At 40.8% G+C, this 19,828-nt stretch overlaps 1 protein-coding gene across 30 annotated transcripts in view; it reads left to right on the top strand.

Moving 5' to 3' along the window:
• OCA2 (OCA2 melanosomal transmembrane protein) overlaps nucleotides 1-19,828 on the top strand; it is a 380,308-nt gene that overhangs the window by 121,282 nt on the left and 239,198 nt on the right. For 29 of the 30 annotated variants that reach the window (XM_047432619.1, XM_047432618.1, XM_047432609.1 and 26 more), the window contains one exon: nucleotides 11,212-11,344. In XM_047432619.1, coding sequence (XP_047288575.1) covers nucleotides 11,212-11,344 — 133 coding nt within the window. Of the gene's footprint in view, nucleotides 1-11,211; nucleotides 11,345-17,728; nucleotides 17,867-19,828 lie in introns of all 30 variants that reach the window. The other variant, XR_001751294.2, reaches the window with a different exon arrangement.

The raw sequence follows: 19,828 nt of genomic DNA, 5'->3' as shown, positions 1-19,828 counted from the left end.
AAATTAGAAAGTATTTTTGTACTCATCAGCTTGGAATGCGATAACCAAATACCATAGACTGGGCAGCTTAAATAACAGCAATTTATTCCTCACAGTCGGGAGGCTAGAAAGTTCAAGATCCAGTGGATCTCATTCCCTGGTGAGGGCTGTCTTCCAGGCTTGCAGATGGCCGCTCTCTCACTGTGTCCTCATGTGGCAGGGAGGCGGGGAGAAGAGGCAGAGATGAAGCTCTCTGGTGTCTCTTCTTATACAGGCATTAATCCCAGTGTGAGGGCTCCACCCTCATGACCTCATCTAAGCCCTATCACCTCCAAAAGACTCCATCTCCTAATACCACCCCATTGAGGGGGCGAGGTAGGGCTTTGGCCACAGTACTTTCGGGGAAACACAATTCAGTCCCGAGCAATTTTGTGTTGAATTATAGTGAAAACAGAACATATCAGAATTTGTGGGATTCCTCTATAGCAGAAGTCAGTAGACTTCTTAAAAGGCCATATATAGTTAATTTTATAGACGTGTGGGCTGTATGGTCTCCATTGCAATTACTCAGCTGCACCACTATATAGCAAGAAAGCAGCCATAGACAACACATAAATGAATGGATATGGCTATATTCCAGCTCCACGTGTGCTAGTCCCTACTCTAAAGCAGTATTTAGAAGGAAATTTATAACACTAAACACCTGTATTTGAAAAGATGTGTCTCAAATCCATAACCTCAGCTTTATCCTATGGAATCAGAAAGAGAAATTAAACTAAAAGTAAGCAGAAGAAAAAAATATATACAGACTAGAAAAATAGGGAACATCAACGAAAGCAAAAGCTGGTTCTTTGACAAGATCAATAATATTGATAAACATCTCGCCAAGCTGATGAGGAAAATGAGACAGAAGATTCAAGTTACTAATATCAAGAATAAGAGTTGTTATATTACAACAGAGCATACAGACATTAATACTATTCTTAGAGAAGATCATGGACAACTCTATGTAAACTATTTGACAACTTAGATAAAATAAACAATTTTTTGGAAACACACACTCTTTAAAACTTCACTCAAGAAGAAGTAGGTAACCTGAGTAGCCCTGTATCTATAGAAGAATCAAATATGTAGTTAAAAACCTTCCCACAAAGAACAAAACAAACATAAACAAACAACTCAGGCTAAGATAGCTTCTTTGGTGAATTCTCCCAAATAGTTAAGGAAAAAATAATGTTATAATACCAATTCTATACAAAGCTTTACAGTAAATTGAAGAGGTGAGAATATTTCCCAATTAATTCTATGAGGCCTTGATATGTGAACTAGACAAAACCAGTATGAGAAAAGGCAACTATAGATAAATATTTCTTGTGAACATAGATTTAATATTTAAAAAATTAGTAAATCCAATTTAACAATATCTAAATAGGTAATACATCTTAACCAAGTAGAATTTATCCAGGAATGGAAGATTCTTATATTTGAAATATTAATCAATGTAATTTACTATACTAACAAACTAAATGAGAAAACCATATGATCATCTCAATAGATGCAGAAAAAACATTTGGCAAAATCCGATATCTATTACTGATAAAATCTCTCAAGAAACTAAGGATAAAAGAGAAATTCATCAACCCAATAAAGAACATCTGAGAATCTATAGCTAGCATCATACTTCATTGAGAATAACTGAATGATTTCCCTCTAACATCAGAAACAAGACAAGGATATCTGTTCTCACTATTTTTATTCAACATTTTATTGGAGGCTGTAGCTCACGTGATAATGCAAGAAAAGAAATACAAAGCATCAATATTGGTAAGGAAGAATTAAAAGTCTTTATTTGCGGATGACACAATCGTCCACGTAGAAGATTTGGTGCAGTCCACAAAAGAGCTCCTACAAATAAATAAATTTGACAAGGTTGCAGGATACGGAGTCCATATACAAAAATTAATGGTTTTCTATATTTAGCAATAAATAACTGAAAATTAAAATTTCACTTACAGTAGCACAAAACATATGCTGTATTCAGTATTGCATATGACCAAACATACGCAAGGCCTATATACTGAAAACTACAAAACTGCAGAGTAATTAAAGAAGATCTAAATAAATTAAGAGGTACACCTTGTTTATGGGCTGGAAAACTCAATATTGTTAAGCTATCCATTCTTTCCAAATTAATCTATAAATTCAAGCAATCCCCATCAAAACTATAGCAGGTTTTCTCTTTGGGTAGAAATTGACAAGCTGATTCTAAAATTTATACAGAAATTCAGAGTATCCAGAATGACAAAAAAAGAAAACAAAAACAAATGGAAAGGGCTAGTACTTCCTGACACCAAGATTTATTATAAAGTCTCAGTAACCAAGACAGTGGTTTTGGCATCAAGACAGACAAATAGATAAATGGAATAAAGTAGGGAGTGTAGATACAGGCCCACACATAAGTGAACTACTGATTTTTGACAAAGGTGCAAAGCCAAGTCAGCAGAGACAAGATAGCGTTTTCCACAAATTGTCCTGGAACAAATGTATATTCATATTCAGGAAAAATGAACTTTAGTCCACACCTCTCACTATATCCACAAATTAACTCAAACTGGATCATAGATGTAAGTGTAAAACCTAAAACCTTAATTTCTAGTGGAAAACCTAAGTTGTAGTAGAATAGGTAGAAAAATAGTTCAAGTGAAGATGTGGCTACTGTACTTCATTACACTCTTTAGAACTTGGCTTTCAACTTATTTTTTTTTCTTCTTTTTAAGACAATATTTAATGAATGCTGCAACAGTTTAACTCTCCTGACTAGCATCACATTAGTGTTAATGTAAAATCCTAGGCATGGTGTATTTCTTACACACAATCTGAATTAACTCTGCATCATTTTAAGCCTGCCCTTACAGTCCTAGATCGAAATATTCTGAACTAAACAATATGATATGACCCAAGACAGACACTGGCTGTGTTTCTACCAAGCCACGTAGAAAACTGAGGGCAAAGAGCAGTCTGTCAGACCATTGCTACAATCCTCCATGGCATATGACGAGCCTTTTTAAGATATCCAGGTTTTAAATACGATGGTAGGAAAGAAAGGTGAGGACCCTGGAGGTGAGTACACCCTATGGTCTTGCTGAGGCTCAGCCCAGGCTTGTCATACAATTTTCTGCCAAAGTGACATTCTCTGGGAAGATGGCCTTAGGACTGTCCTTATTTTACTGAAGACAGCATTCCTTGTCTTCTACTTAATGACTTTCTCTGAATTTGGGAATTAAACTGTAATGGAGTCTCACCCTATTGCCCAGGCTGGAGTGCAGTAGCGTGATCTTGGCTCACTGCAACCTCCGCCTCCTGGGTTCAAGCAATTCTCCTGCCTCAGCCTCCTGAGTAGCTGGGATTACAGGTGCATACCACCACGCCTGGCTAATTTTTATATTTTTAGTAGAGATGGGGTTTCACTGTGTTGCCCAAGCTGGTCTTGGAATTACTGACCTCAGGTGATCCATCTGCCTCGGCCTCCCAAAGTGCTGAGATTATAGGCATGAGCCGCCATGCCCGGCCTTGATTTTAATTTATTTCACAGTAGTTTGGAGATAAGGAAATACTTCTCTGTATGGAGACACAGATGCACTCATAGTTTCAGGGACAGTGTCTTCAGTAGAGATAAATTTATAAAGCCTCATTATCAATAGTGACAGCACAGCCATACATTTGCCTCACATGATGTGCATATTTATTTTGCATTGTTTACTTGTTCATCAAGGAACTCAAATAGGAAGAAAACAGATTATGAAATAAAACTTAAGTTTGAAATTAATTTTAAAATTATTCCTGAAGAGGAAGTCCTAGTCAGAGTAATCAGACAAGAGAAAGAAATAAAGAGTACCCAAATTGGAAAAGAGGAAGTCAAACTATGTCTGTTTGCCACTGATATGATCTTATACCTAGAAAAGTCTAGACTCCTCCAAGACTCCTAGATTTGATAAATGAATTCAGTAAAATCTCAGGTTACAAAATCAATGTACACAAATCAGTAGCACTGCTATATACCAACAATGACCAAGCCAAGAATCAAATCAAGAACTCAATCCCTTTCACAATAGCTACCAAAAAAATAAAATACCTAGGGATATACTTAACCAAGGAGTTGAAAGATGTCTAAAAGGAGAGCTACAAAACACTGCTGAAAGAAATCATAGATGACACAAACAAATGGAAATGCATCCCATACTTATGGATTGGAAGAGTCAGTATCACAAAATGACCATATTGCCCAAAGTAACTTACAGATTCAATGCAATTCCTATCAAAATGCCAATATCATTTTTCACAGAATTAGAAAAACCAATCTTGAAATTCATATGGAACCAAAAAAGAGCCTGAATAGCCGCCAAAGCAATCCTAAATAAAAATAACAAATCTAGAGACATCACATTACTCAACTTCAAATTATACTAAAAGGCTATAGTAACCAAAACAGCATGGTACTAGTATAAAAGTAGACACATAGAGCAATGGAACAGAATTGAGAACCCAGACATAAAGCCAAATACTTACAACCAACTGATCTTCAACAAAGTATACAAAAACATAAACTGGGTAAAAGACACTCTCTTCAGTAAATGATGCTGGGAAAACTGGCTAGCCACATGTAGAAGAATGAAACTGGATCCCTATCTCTCACGATATACAATATAACTGAAGATGGATTAAAGACTTAAATCTAAGACTTGAAACCATAAAAATTCTAGAAGAAAACCTATGAAAAACTCCTTTGGACACTGACCCAGGCAAAGAATTTAGGACAAAGACCCCAAAAACAAATGCTGCAGAAACAAAAATAAATGGGATCTAATTAAACTGAAAAGCTAATGCAGACTGGGCATGGTGGCTCACGCCTGTAATCCCAGCACTTTGGGAGGCCAAGGTGGGAGGATCACTTCAGGTCAGGAGTTAGAGACCAGCCTGGCCAACACGGTGAAACCCCATCTCTACTAAAAATAAAATAAAAAAATAGCTGGGCGTGGTGGTGCATGCTTGTAATCCCAGCTACTCGGGAGGCTGAGGCAGGAGAATCACTTGAACCAGGGAGGCAGAGGTTGCAGTGAGCCGAGATTGCACCACTGCACTCCAGCTTGGGTGAGAAAGAGAGACTCTGTCACAAAAATAAAATAAAATAAAATAAAATAAAATAAAATAAAATAAAATAAAATAAAATAAAATAACCATCAAAGTAAACAGAAAACCTACAGAATGGGAGACAATGTTTGCAAACTATGAATCTGACAAAGGACTAATATCCAGAATCTATAAGAAACTCAAACAAATTAGCAAGAAAAAAAAAATAATCCCAATAAAAAGTAGGCAAATGACATGAGTAGACATTTTTGAAGAAGATATGCAACTGGCCAAGAAACATATGAAAAAATGCTGAACATCACTAATCATCAGGAAATACAAATTAAAAGAATGAGATATCACCTTATTACAGCCAGAATGGCCATTATGGCCATTATTAAAAAGTCAAAAAACAATAGATGTTGGCACAGATGTGGTAAAAAGGGAATGCTTATACACTGCTGGTTTGAATGTAAATTAATACAACCCTTATGGAAAATACTGTGGAGATTTCTCAATGAACTAAAAGTATATCTACCATTCAATCCAGCAATCCAGTCACTGGGTATCTACCCAAAGGAAAAGAAGTCATTATATCAAAAAGACACCGGCACACTTATGTTTATCACAGCACAATTCACAACTGCAGAGATATGGACTCAACCTAAATGCCTATCAACAGATAAGTGGATAAAGAAAATTTGAGAGAGAGAGAGATATGCGTGTATATACACCCACACACACCATAGAATACTACTCAGCCATAAAAAAGAATGAACTAATGTCTTTTGCAGCAACTTGGATGGAACTGGAGGCCATTATTCTAAGTGAAGTAACTCAGAAATGGAAAAGCAAATACCGCATGTTCTCACATATAAGTGGGAGCTAAGTTGTGAGTATGCAAAGGCATACACTGGTAACGAGAACATTGGAGACTAGGAAGAGGGGAGGTCAGGAGGGGTTGATGGATGAAAAACTACATATTATGTACAATGTCCACTACTCTGGTGATGGGTGCACTAAAATCCCAGACTTCACCAGTATATAATTTATCCATGTAACCGAAAACCACTTGCACCCCTAAAGCTAATGAAAAAAAAATTCACAAAGAAAATGAATACTTATGTAGTTTGGAGGAATAATAAACAAATCAGCACTAGAGTTTGGAACAGTAAAGAAGTCACATCTGAAAACTCGTCCACATTTTCCGAGCATTGGGCAGAAACGACAGGAAGTTGTGAGGAAAGTTCTTGCCACCTACCATTGCTGCACGAGGCTTAGGTCTCTCAGGTCTCTTGGGATAACTCTCTGTCGGTGGAATTTCCAGCACTGGACAGGTAGGTAGGGAGGACCTCCAGGACCCACCACATGGACAACCACTTATTCCCCAGCCACAAGCCTCCCTTGGGTAAGCATGAGTCGGCCTGGCTGTAGCATCCACGCGCACCAACCCACTGCACCTTCAGCTCCTAACAAGCTGACAGGATAAAGTTTTACTTTGCTGGTTACATTTGCTCCTTTATGCCTGTTCTACAGAGACTCACCATGGTGAGCAAAACTATTCAACTATCTTTAAAATAATACCTGAAAAGTCTCTTGAGGGAAGCGTGCCCCTATGCTTCTGAATAGCATCTTTGTAAGAAGACAGGTTTCCCTTCATGCCCCACGTTGTGTACTTGGATGCTTTTTATACTTTTCCCACTATACTGTGCGCTGGGCTTGCTGGGACATTCTTCCCGTTTTCCCACCATGCCATGCGTGCTGGGGCGTTCTTCACGTTTTCCCATCATGTCTTGCATGCTGGGAGGTTCTTTCCGTGTTCTCACCATGCCGGGCATGCTGGGGCGTTCTTCAGGCTTTCCTGCCATACTGTGCTTGCTGGGACATTATAATTATGTTTTCCCACCATGCCTTGCATGCTGGGGCATTTTTCACGTTTTCCCACCATGCCGTGCTTGCTGGGGAGTTCTTCAGGCTTTCCCTGCCGTACTGTGCATGCTGGGACGTTCTTTACGTTTTCCCATCATGCCGTGGGTGCTGCCACGTTCTTCCTGTTTTCCCACCATCCCATGTGTGCAGGGACGTTTTTCACGTTTTCCCACCATGCCATACGTACTGGGGTATTCTTCAGGCTTTCCCTGCCATACTGTGCATGCTGGGATGTTCTTTATGTTTTCCCAACATTCTGTGTGTGCTGGGATGTTTTTCACGTTTTCCCAGCATGCGTTCTTCAGGCTTTCCCTGCCGTACTGCGTATGCTGGGACATTCTTAATGTTTTCCCACCATGCCGTGTGTGCTGGGGCGTTCTTCAGGCTTTCCCTGCCATACTGTGCATGCTGGGACATTCTTCATGTTTTCCCATCATGCTGTGCGTGCTGGGACATTCTTTACATTTTCCCACCGTGCTGTGTGTGCTGGGACCTTCTTCATATTTTCCCACCATGCCGTGCCTGCTGGGGCGTTTTTCCTGCGTTCCTGCCATGCTGCATGTGCTGTGAAGTTCTTTGGCTTCTCCTCCACTACTGCTTTTCCCCCACTCCCTTGGGTGTTAATTGAGACAGTGTCTCTCTCTTGTGGGCCCTGCTCTGCCTCTCTGGCCCCCTCTGAATTTCCTTTATGGGGTTTTTTTTTTGGTTTGTTGGTTTCCACACACCTATTTAATATCTGTGGGCTCAGGGGTCTTCGTTTTTGACCTTTTTCTCCTCTCAGATCAGCACTGGCTAGCAAAGCTCATCCCCTCCGTGGCTTGCTCCGTTTTCAGCTTGCTGGGATCTGTGTCTCTGCCAGAGGCTCTTCCTTTAGACCCATGTGTGCCAGGACCCCTGCACCTATGCTTGATGGATCCCTTACAAGCAGCGAGACCCACACCCCCGTCTGGCCCACACGCATTCCTGCAGTGCTGGGTCCTCTCCTTACTGGCCATCTAGACAGGATTATATTTTCAAATTACACCATGCATATTTTACTAAAATATTCAATAGATTCAGCTAAACACTTCATAAGAAGCTTTTTTTTTTTTTTAAATTTTCACATGGAAGAATTCAAGAAATCATTTTGGCTTGAGCCCCTCCTTTGCAACCTAATGGACCATTTTGACTTGTCACAGAGCTAGCCTGAAGCGTCATTCCTAGAAAATGATATTGGTGGGCCAGAAGTCCCTCAGGCGTGTCCCCTTAAATGTATGTAGATTATGAATCTGGGAATGTTCTGATCTGATTGAGGGTTCCTCTTTTGTTTGGTTTACGTGCCTAATATTTGGCCATTTAATCCATCAAATGAGGACAGTGGGGAAAATTAAGAAGAAAATGACTGAGTGGAGCCTATAATAAAACAATACAAAGCAGAAGTGGCACCTTGAAGCAGAAAGAGCGCATTTAGGCGCTGAATTGATGTGAGTGTGCTGGTGGATAGTTTTGTTACTGGGAACACAGACGAGAGTCTAGGAAATTACAGAGGCATGTAAAAGCAGCAGGGTGTCCCAGATACCTGCGCCTAATAAGCTTAGTGCAAACATCTGCATCCCACTGCACACTGCATCTGCCTGTTTCCTAAAGTGATCAGTTTGGATTTTTCCCTTATCATTGCTCTTTTGATGAATCCACCCATCGCAAGTCTAGTAGCAACCAAATGCTTCACTCAGTGCTGTGTCATTTTGCTGTGGACGCACACCCAGGACCTCCTTACTTTTTTTTTTTTCTTTTATCTACTCATCACTTTTTTCTCCAATTGCCCCAACATTTCAAATGGGGCAAAACTTTATAGTTATTATGTTCTAGAGGGACCAAGAATTACTCAGGATATAGGTACTTCTGTCTTCTTGGGACATTTTCTCTAAAAAATATTAACAATTGCATTTCATGACCCAGCTAGTGTATAAATATATTAGTACTATAGTTTAAATCATTTTCTCTGACGCAACAGTTCCTTTTTTTTTTTTTTTGCCTCTGAGTTTAGAAGAATTTAAAACAGTTTCATAAGCCCCTAAAAGTATCGTGGATCTTTTTCAGATATCTGGGGTATGAATTATAGAGATAAACACAAAATTCAATGTAATACCCCCATTGAAGAACTATCGGGAAAGTGGTGAATTCTTCTATATGATCACCCAAAGCATTCCATGAGTCCCGCCTCTGTGTGGTTTCCCTGCCATCTGTCCAGGAATTAGCTTATATAGCTCCACCTGTCATTTGTAATGCTGTTTTCAAGGACAACCATTGGATGTGCCGGTAACTGCAAGGGATTAAGCATTTCAGATTATTGTATATTGGCAAGCTCTAAACTTTTACACAACTTCATTGATAATGGCCTCTAGTTGTGTTGTATCTTTAATAATGTTGAAAGTGATTTCACATATTTTCTAAAAGTGAGAGGAAAAATACATAAATTTTAATAAGGAACAATTAATATAGTTTAAATCACTCAAACCCAGACCTTTGGAAGGTGATTTTCCAAACTCCCAACGTGGGATCCTCACTAACGTTCTGTGTGACTTGCCACCCCTCTACCTATGTAAGAGGTTCCTAAGGGTCCCAAGGCAGAGCTGGACTGCCCGTGGTCCCTCCCACCCTGCCCCTGTCATTCCCCATGGTCGTGCATTGTCACTGTGCCTCTGACCCCCTTTGTGGCACCTGTGATTCATGGACACTACAGAAAAGACCTTGAGTTCTTGCCAGATGGCCAGCTTCATGGGGATAAGAGCCTCATCTGTCCTGCTGGGGGCTCAGGAGGTGCCTGCACAGATGTGCTGAAGGTGTAAAAGCACATGGTCTGTGAAAGAACAGAACCAACCAATGACGCTGCTGACTTACTCCAGGACGTCTGTGAAAGAACAGAACCAACCAATGACGCTGCTGACTTATTCCAGGACGTCAGCGAAAGAGCAGAACCAACCAATGACGCTGCTGACTTATTCCAGGACGCCAGTGAAAGAACAGAACCAACCAATGACGCTGCTGACTTATTCCAGGACGTCAGTGAAAGAACAGAACCAACCAATGACGCTGCTGACTTATTCCAGGACGTCAGTGAAAGAACAGAACCAACCAATGATGCTGCTGACTTATTCCAGGACGTTTGTGTGTGAAAGAACAGAACCAACCAATGACGCCGCTGACTTATTCCAGGACAAATCAACCTAGTGGGGATTTGCCCAACTCTAAAGATACCCTCAGTGGCCGGCCACGTGCAGAGCCCTAGGCAGGCAAAGGAAGCGTGCCGGGAAGGAGAGGTTCCTGCTTGAGTCCCTGCGGCTGGTCCCCATGCTCTAAGCGATCCCAGCCCTGATGGGCCCTGAGTGCCCTGCAAAGGGCTGTGCTCTCCAGCCACGAGGACACTTTCAAACCGATGGCAGGGACTTAAATGAAGTGTTTAAAAATTCAACTTACCTTTAAATGGGCAAATATTATCATATAGTTTAGTATTTTGTCCCATTCAGTCTTTTTTCACCCTATCTTGGGGAAGGCATCAATCTAGTGGTGAAGATGGACCAAGCCAAGGTTGAGTTAGATGTGGTAGCCTGTTTTTGTTTCTTCCTATGATGGCTTGTCATTTGTGTAAGAATTGGTTTTTGGTTTTCGACATGAAAGAAACAAACGTTAACAATTTTCAAAATCATGGTAAGGAATCCGTGGTCTTTCGTGGGCTTTGTGTTGGGCTCCAGGACCTCTGCCTAAGGTCCTGGAACTCCTGGTGAGCCCCTTCCCTCCTGGGCTCTGGCCCTCCCTGGACCCTGACTCAGGGAGCTGCTGCCTGTGCGGAGGAAAGGCCCGTCTTCCGTTTCTTTTTGTTTGTTTGTTTTGAGACGGAGTCTCGCTCTGTCGCCCAGGCTGGAGTGCAGTGGCATGATCTCGGCTCACTGCAAGTTCCGCCTCTCGGGTTCACGCCATTCTCCTGCCTCAGCCTCCCGAGTAGCTGGGACTACAGGCACCCGCCACCACGCCCAGTTAATTTTTTGTATTTTTTAGTAGAGACAGGTTTTCACTGTGTTAGCCAGGATGGTCTCCATCTCCGGACCTCGTGATCCACCCACCTCGGAAAGTGCTGGGATTACAGGCGTGAGCCACCATGCCTGGGCTGCCATTTCATTTCCCCTTGTTTATTTCCAGGGCCTGGACTTTGCCGGATTCACTGCACACATGTTCATTGGGATTTGCCTTGTTCTCCTGGTCTGCTTTCCGCTCCTCAGACTCCTTTACTGGAACAGAAAGCTTTATAACAAGGAACCCAGTGAGATTGTTGGTGAGTACAAGTGCAACCTCATGTAGGCTCAGATTTCATGACCATAATATTGTTTGTTTACCAGGAGAAGTTCTTATTAGGAAGTATCTGTTGATGGGTTGCTGGATGCTCAATACCAGTGACTCTCCACGTCCACCTTCTAGTATACACTGTTTTCAGGGCTGCTATCATGAGCTGTGCCTCTTTAGTTTTCTGTGAAGTGTACTGTGGTAAAATGTGGGAAGTAATGGCCACCATGTACAACTCACATGTCATAACCCCCTAAAGCCACGTGTATATGGTACAAATACACTAACATATAGACTGCAGTGCTCTAATAGTGTATCATAGCTTGAGTCTTAAATATGACTGGAAATAACAGCAACATAACCCAGCACAGGAGGTGATGGGCCCTGTCAATCAAGAGCACATGCTAGGCCAGGCACGGTGGCTCACGCCTGTAATCCCAGCACTTTGGGAGGCCAAGGTGGGCGGATCACCTGAATCAGGTCAGGAGTTCGACTCCAGCCTGGCCAACATGGTGAAACCCCGTCTCTACTAAAAATACAGAAATTAGCCGGGCATGGTGGCACAGGCCTGTAATCCCAGCTACTCAGGAGGCTGAGGCAGGAGAATTGCTTGAACCCAGGAGGTGGAGGTTGCAGTGAGCCAAGATCGTGCCACTGCACTCCAGCCTGGGCGACAGAGTGAAACTCTGTCTCAAAAACAAACAAACAAACAAACAAACAAACAAACAGCAGATGCTGAGCACCAGCCAGCAGGATGAGGGCTTAGGGCCATCTTATCGTTTTGCATTTTCATCACTAAAACACTTTAGTAGATGTTTTACTGAGATCATTACTGATTAGAATATATTAGGAACAATAGATTATTTGGGAAACAAGCAGCCTTTCCTTGACGAGCTCCAGAATATGGATGCTGTGCAGGTTGCCTGGGTAACAGGGGCATCAGGCGACCAGAGCTCAGCAGATGAAGGCGCTCTTCTTTGGGAATTTGTAGAGCTCACGGATTGCATGTTGATCTCTCTCAGCCTTTGTGATTCTGCTGGCCTGTGTTTTACAGGATCTCAGTTTGTCTTTGTTCTGGATAAGATACCCAGATTCCATTTCCACATGGGTGGCTGGAGGCCACGACATGGTCCTGCCATACTCCAGTTCCTCCGATGCTGACTGTCCAAGACAGATCTGTGTGACTTTCATGTTATTCAGAATTTGAGTATTTAAAAAATCTCATTAAGAAAACATTGTTTTGCATTCCTCCTCAGGATTCATCTGTCAAAACAAGCTTGTTCTTGGGAATATCTACTCATCTTACCTGGGGGCTGGACCTAGTTCAACCCATAACAACTAGTTAGAGGTGTTTAGAATGTTTTATAATCAACTAATATATGCAAAGTAAGATAAATTAATATATAGGTTTCTTTTTCTGATGAAAATGTTAGAACTAAGGGAGAGTGAAGGAGACTGTGATCGTGGTGGATAATTGTCCTGTCTCTTGGAGCTTGTGTGTGCACAGCTGTGTCTTAGTGGAGAGCTCAACCGTCATCCTGCCCAACTATGCCAGCCTCTCCCAACCTCCCTGGTGATCACAGTGACCTGGGACAATTGTTGTATATGCAGATTTTCAGCGTCATCCCCAGGAATTCTGTGTTGTTAGTAAGCTGTCCTGAAGAGTCTAATCTTGAGATGAATTTGGGATACACAGATTTAGACACACAGAAAATAATCTCTGTAATGAATTCCTCACCGTTCCTGAGTAAGGAACAGAGAAAAGCTTCGAGGGAAGTGGGGAGTGATGGTTGGAAGTGGACACACCTGGTGATGCAGGAACCCTATGGCCGGGCTAAGACCAGCAGTGCAAGGTGGGGTGATTGCTCTGTGCCACTGTGGGGCTTAGAGGGCTCCAAATTTGGAGTGGTGGGTAAAACTGCAGATTCCCAAGCCCCACTCAAGAGATCTGAGTTTAGCAGGCCTGTGGTGGTGTACAGAGCATTGTCAGAACAGGCTTGGTTATGTTGCAGTGAAAAAGTAACCCTGAAATCTCAGTGACTTCCAGAACTGTGTTTTCTTCCTTGTGTTGGCTTTGTACCCCCCGCCCCCTCCCCAATGGACTGGCAGGGGCCCTGATCATCATCTGTTCTTAGAGTCCTGAGCGGCTAGCCTTGAAGGCAAAGAGAATAGCATGGTCCCATTCTGCCATCCAGTGACACAGGCAGGCCCCACCCAGTCACAAGGGACCAGGACAGGCCAGCCTGCCAGGTGCTCAGAATGGGAGAGAGCATGACTTACATGGTGAAAAGAACAATAATCACCAGAGCCTATCCCTCTGATCACCAAATGTTCAACTCATGCTGCTTCTTGCTAATACTTTGTTTAGCATTTTGTTTTTGTGTACATTAGGGATCTTGATTGTAGTTTCCTTTCTTGTAATGTCTTTTTTGTTGTCCTCATAGGAGGAATATGGAAATATTTCCTCATCTTCAATTTTTTGGAAGAATTTCTGTAGAATTGCTATTACTTTTTTCTTAAATGTTTATTTGGACATTTATAGGCCTGGATGTTTTTGTGGAAAGGTTTTTAACTACAAATTCAAATCCCTTAATATACATATAGGGATGGCTATTCAAGTTATCTGTTTCTCCTTGAGTGTTGACTGGTAGTTGGTGTCTTTCAAGGAATTTGTCCATTTAATCTAAGTTGTTGAATGTATTGTTATAAAATTGTTCATAATATTCTTTCATTATCCTTTTAAGGGCTATCAAATTTTTGATAATGTCATATCTCTCATTCCTGATGTTGGTAGTTTGATAGTTTGTGTCTTCTCTCTCTCTTTGGTTGGTTTATCAATTTTATTGATCTCAAAGAACCAGCTTTTGATTATATAGATTTTTCTCTACAATTTTTTTCTCTTTTAATAATGTCTATTGTGCTCTTTATTTATTTTTTTTCTGCTTACTTTCAGGCTTGCTTATTTTTTCACTGGTTTCTTAAAGTGGAGGCTAAGGTTATTGATTTTATGTGCATCTTATTTTCTAATATAGGCCTTTAGTGCTCTAAATTTCCTTCTAAGTATTACTTTAGTGGCCTCTCACTAATTTATTATTTTTATTTCATTTTCATTCAGTTCAAATTATCTTATAATGCATCTTTTTATTTTTTCTTTGATCCTTGGATAATTTAGATGGTTTATATACCTTCCAAGTATTTGGGAAAGTTTTTGCAGTTACCTAATTTAGTTCCACTGTAGTAAGAGAATATATTTCATAAATCTTGAATCCTTTAACATTTATTGAGGCTTGTATGGCTATAGAATGTGGTCTACCTTTGTAAACATTCTGTGTGCACTAGAAATGAAAACGTATTCTGCTCTTGTTAGGAGGGATGTTCAGTGATGTCAATTATATAGCTTAGGTCAGATTGGCTGATAATGTTATTCAAGTATTCTATATTCTTGCTGATTTTCTATCTACTTGTTTAATTATTGAGAGATGGATACAGACGTGTCTAAGGTTGATTATAGATTTGTTTATTTCTCTTTGTAATTCTATTATTTTGCTTTATGCATTTTAAAAGTTTACTATTAGGGCACATAAATATTTAGGATTGTTCTTTCATCTTGATGATTTAACACCTTGCTATAAAAACAATCTTTGCGATCCATGATAATATTCTTTGCTCTGAAATATACTTTGTTGTTAATATAACAATTTCATTTTTCTCTTGACTAGTGTTAGTGTGGTGTATCTTTTTCCATCTTTTTACTTTTAACTTATTTATATCTTTAAAGTACAGTTCTTGTAAGCAGCATATATTAGCATCCTGATTTTTTATCTACTCTGATAGTCTGTCTCTTAAACCATTTATATTTAATGTGCTTAGTGATGCGATTGAATTTAAGTGTAACATCATATTATTGTTTTATATTTGTGCTTCATTATTACCCTTTTCTTCATTTATGCCTTCTTTTGAATTAATTGAGTATTTAAATACATTCTATATTTTCTCCTCTGTTGGTTGTTACTTTTTTTGGCTTTAATTCTGTTTTGTGATTTTAGTGACTATTATACCACTAACTTTGAGCGATATTATACTACCTAACATACAGTAGAAGAACTTAACACTAGTATAGTTCCATTTCTCTCTTTCTGGCCTAGGCTTCTTCTCCTGAGATTCCCAGCTCTGAGCTCACTACTCTAGGCTTCCCTGGAAGCCATCACCTCCTGTGTCAGAGCACATCCCACACGGCACTTTCTTTGCCTGTTTGAAACATGTATGTGGCCACTCTAAGTAATACCATCAGAAGTTGGTTGAGAAGCTCAGAAAGATAGAGGCTGATAGAGAGGTAAGACATGGGATATCTGATGATGTCTCCTAGTAAGAGGCTAGGGTGGCAAAGACAAAGAGTTGAAACTTATATGGCAGAATCAGAGCTCACAATGGTGCTGGGCATTTGGGGTTTTGAGTCTTCTCTGAAGATCTTTGACATCTTTAGCTTTATTCTACAGGCCACGGGGAACTACTGGATATTTGAAAGAAGGAATTTATCTGTCTATCTTCTATTTATCTATCTGTAATCTATCATCTAATCTAGGAAATGATAGATCTAGGAAGATGATAGCTAGATAAATATCAGTCATCTTCCTATCATCTGGGAAATAGATTTATTTTGTTTTATTATTTTAATTAATTAATTTAAAAATGTTTAAATTATTTTTATTTTTATTTATTTTATTTTATTTCTCAATTACACTTTAAGTTCTGGGATATATGTGCAGAATGTGCAGGTTTGTTACATAGGTATACACATGCCATGGTGGTTTGCTGCACCCATGAACCTGTCATCTGCACTAGGTATTTCTCCTAATGCTATCCCTCCCCTAGCCCCCAACCCTCCGACAGCCCCCGGTGTGTGATGATCCCCTCCCTGTGTCCATGTGTTCTCATTGTTCAACTCCCACTTATGAGTGAGAACATTCAGTGTTTGGTTTTCTGTTCCTGTGTTAGTTTGCTGAGAATGATGGTTTCCAGCTTAATCCATGTCCCTGCAAAGGACATGAACTCATCCTTTTTATGGCTGCATAGTATTCCATGGTGTATATGTGCCACATTTTCTTTATCCAGTCTGTCATTGATGGGCATTTGGGTTGGTTCCAAGTCTTTGCTATTGTGAACAGTGCTGCAATAAGCATACGTGTGCATGTGTCTTTATAGTAGAATGATTTATAATCCTTTGGTTATATACCCAGTAATGGGATTGCTGGGTCAAATGGTATTTCTGGTTCTAGATCCTTGAGGAACCGCCACACTGTCTTCCACAATGGCTGAACTAGTTTACAGTTCCACCAACAGTGTAAAAGCATTCCTATTTCTCCATATCCTCTCCAGCATTTGTTGTTTCCTGACTTTTTAATGATCATCATTCTAACTGGAGTGAGATGGTATCTCATCGTGGTTTTGATTTGCGTTTCTCTAATGACCAGTGGTAATGAGCTTTTTTTCATATGTTTGTTGGTCGCATAAATGTCTTCTTTTGAGAAGTGTCTGCTCATATCCTTTGCCCACTTTTTGATGGGGTTGTTTTTTTCTTGTAAATTTGTTTAAGTTCTTTGTAGGTTCTGCATATTAGCCCTTTGTCAGATGGATAGATTACAAAAATTTTCTGCCATTCTATAGGTTGCCTGTTCACTCTGATGGTAGTTTCTTTTGCTGTGCAGAAGCTCTTTAGTTTAATTAGATCCCATTTGTCAATTTTGGCTTTTGTTACCATTTTTTTTTTTTTTTTTTTGAGATGGAGCCTTGCTCTGTCATGCCCAGGCTGGAGTGGAGTGAAGCAATCTTGGCTCACTGCAACCTCCACCTCCTGGGTTCAAGCAATTCTCCTACCTTAGTCTTCCAAGCAGCTGAGATTACTGGTGCCTGCCACCATGCCCAGCTAATTTTTTGTATTTTTAGTAGAGTCAGAGTTTCACCATATTGGCCAGGCTGGCCTCGAACTCCCGACCTCAGGTGATCTGCTCGCCTCAGCCTCCCAAAGTGCTAGGATTACAGGCGGGAGATAGATACATAGATACATAGATAGATAGATAGATAGATAGATAGAGCAAATGGTGTTTTATGATTAAGCAGGGGCAGGTTTATAGCAAGTGACTGTAGTTAAAGGTTACTAAGGAACAATAAGAATTAAGAAATGTGAGAGGGTGAGGCCTGGACAAGAAGGTAACCTAGGACAGGAAGAAGCAGACAAGGCAAGAGCTGTGCCAGCATATCCTGGGTGGCTCTTGAGGCTCACACTACCCTAGCGTATGTTTATTTATGATATATCTTATATCTCTTTCCAGTTTTGGAAGGCCATCTTGTAACTTACCAATGAAATTTTATCCTTTAGCATCAAACACAGATCTGACACCTGTGACACAATAATGTTAATGTGGAAATATAAAAGAGAATGACATTGACAAGACCAGGATGACATTTCAGTCTTGTGTACCTGGAAGAGCAATTGCATTATATAAAAACTAAGAAGGTAAGGGTAGGAGAGAAACTTTATGGGAGGAAGATAAAGTGTTTAGCTATGAGTTTGCAGCACAGGGTTCAGAGGGAAATATTGGGTAGCCAGCTGGGTCTATGGTCTTGGACCTCAGCAGAGTAGACAGGGTGGGGAAATGACAGAGGAGGTGCAGAGGAAGCCTGGGAACTGATACATGGACAGGTTTTGGTAAACTGAGTTCTGGGTGAACCCTTCTGGGCAAAATCCCTCCCGACTAAATTCCTTCATAATTTGTATATTACATTCCACAACTAGGAATACAAAAGTGTACTACCTGAGTATTAATGCGTGGGTTGATCTGAGTGGAGCAGCACTTCCTTTTTGGTTTTATGGGTTAGAAGGCAGGTAGGTGCTGGGTGTGCATGAAGGTGGCTGAGGCTCCACTGGAGAGTAAGCACCTGCAGTAGTCGCACAGAGACTGGGAGGTCAGCTCCACCAGCATAGCCTTGGTTCCCAGGCTTTGCTTCTCCAAACATAAAGGCATGGAGAGACTTCCAGCCCGCACCCAGGGGCTGGCACCAGAGATGAACCACGCAGAGGTGTGAGCACTTTAAAGCTGATCAGCTGCTTCAGAAAGTGGCCCTTCACCGTGATGCCTTTAGAGAATGGCTGGAAAGTCTCTGGTACTTTATGGACGGGCTTTTAGCAAGATTTAGAGCACTGGATGAAATACTGGCTCTGTCTGAACTTACATTGGAGACCTTCCACAGATGGTGTTTTTGTGTTCAGTGTTTCAGAGAGTGAGTTCATTAGTTTTTTCCTTCACTTCCTCTTCCCCTTTCTTTTTATGTTATCATAGCCTCATAGGTGGTTTAACGAAGTGTGAGACTTTTCAAGAGGAAATTTTGGATCTGTTTCTCTGAAGAGGCCTTTGAATTATACCCAAGTTCCTTTTATTTTAGTAAGCTACAAAGCATCCATATGTACTGAATGAAAACATATTATGTATCTTAGTTCTAAAGGTTTTCATCTTGGTAGGGCTGAAGCTTTAGAGAAAGCCATGTGCTAACTGAAATAGTTCTGGTGCTCCCAGGCTCTGCGCATTCTCTCTGAGTCATGACATGCTTCGTTTCCAGACTGCCTCCCTCTGCCTAACTCATCTTTGTTGTTGCAGTAGGTCTGCCACGCAGTGGGTGATGAGCACTCACGTACTGAACAGAAGGGGCTTAAAAGGTGGCGTTTTCCCATTCCACTGAACCCACGATGTTCATGCTGCTTCCCAGGTCTTCGGGTGATCACCATGCCTTGAATCTGCCCCGAGCTGCTCTTCCAGTGCCCCAGCGCCTGCTTGAAAGGCTTTGTCTTTTCATCCTATCTTTAATTCTTGCTATAGGCAGTGTGGAGTATTGCACGTAAGGGATGGTTCATGAAAATATTGTGCTTTCTTATATTCTTTTAATGGATATTTTGAGAAACATATGTAATGTTTTTAACAGTAAAATAGAGGTTAAATGTAGGTTTTCATGAAATATTTGAATATCTTAAGAGGCAATGAATTGACACATCATTTCCTCTCTACTCTTCTCTATCAGAAGGTGTCTGAATTCAGTGATGGGTGAAAATTCTGCTCATTCTATAGATTTCAGCATCTCATCAAGTCATCTACCTCTCTCTTTCGCCTGTGTCAGAGACAGCTCAGTGGCGCCTGGTTGGAGGGCGCCTCCCTGTCTTCTGCTGCTTACCAAATGCCCTGTTGGAGAGCGCTGAGCACCTTCTCCTGAGAATTACACTTGTGTTTTCAATTTTCACTAGATCTGCTCCTGAAACCCCTCAAAGATTGGGCAATGTCTAGATTTTGGCTGGAAGCAGATCCGAAATATTTCCTGCAAGAAGGGGAAATGTTGTTGGGTGCTAGCTTTGATGTGTTGGTTCAAGAAAGGAATTTATTCTTCACTGAAAGTGTTGAAATTGCATTACTTCGCTTTCGTGATAATTTTT

Source organism: Homo sapiens, chromosome 15 (genome assembly GCF_000001405.40).
Source record: "Homo sapiens chromosome 15, GRCh38.p14 Primary Assembly".
NCBI classification, from domain to species: Eukaryota; Metazoa; Chordata; class Mammalia; order Primates; family Hominidae; genus Homo; species Homo sapiens.
Note: the sequence above shows the minus strand (reverse complement) of the source record. Positions and strands in the feature narration are given on the sequence as shown.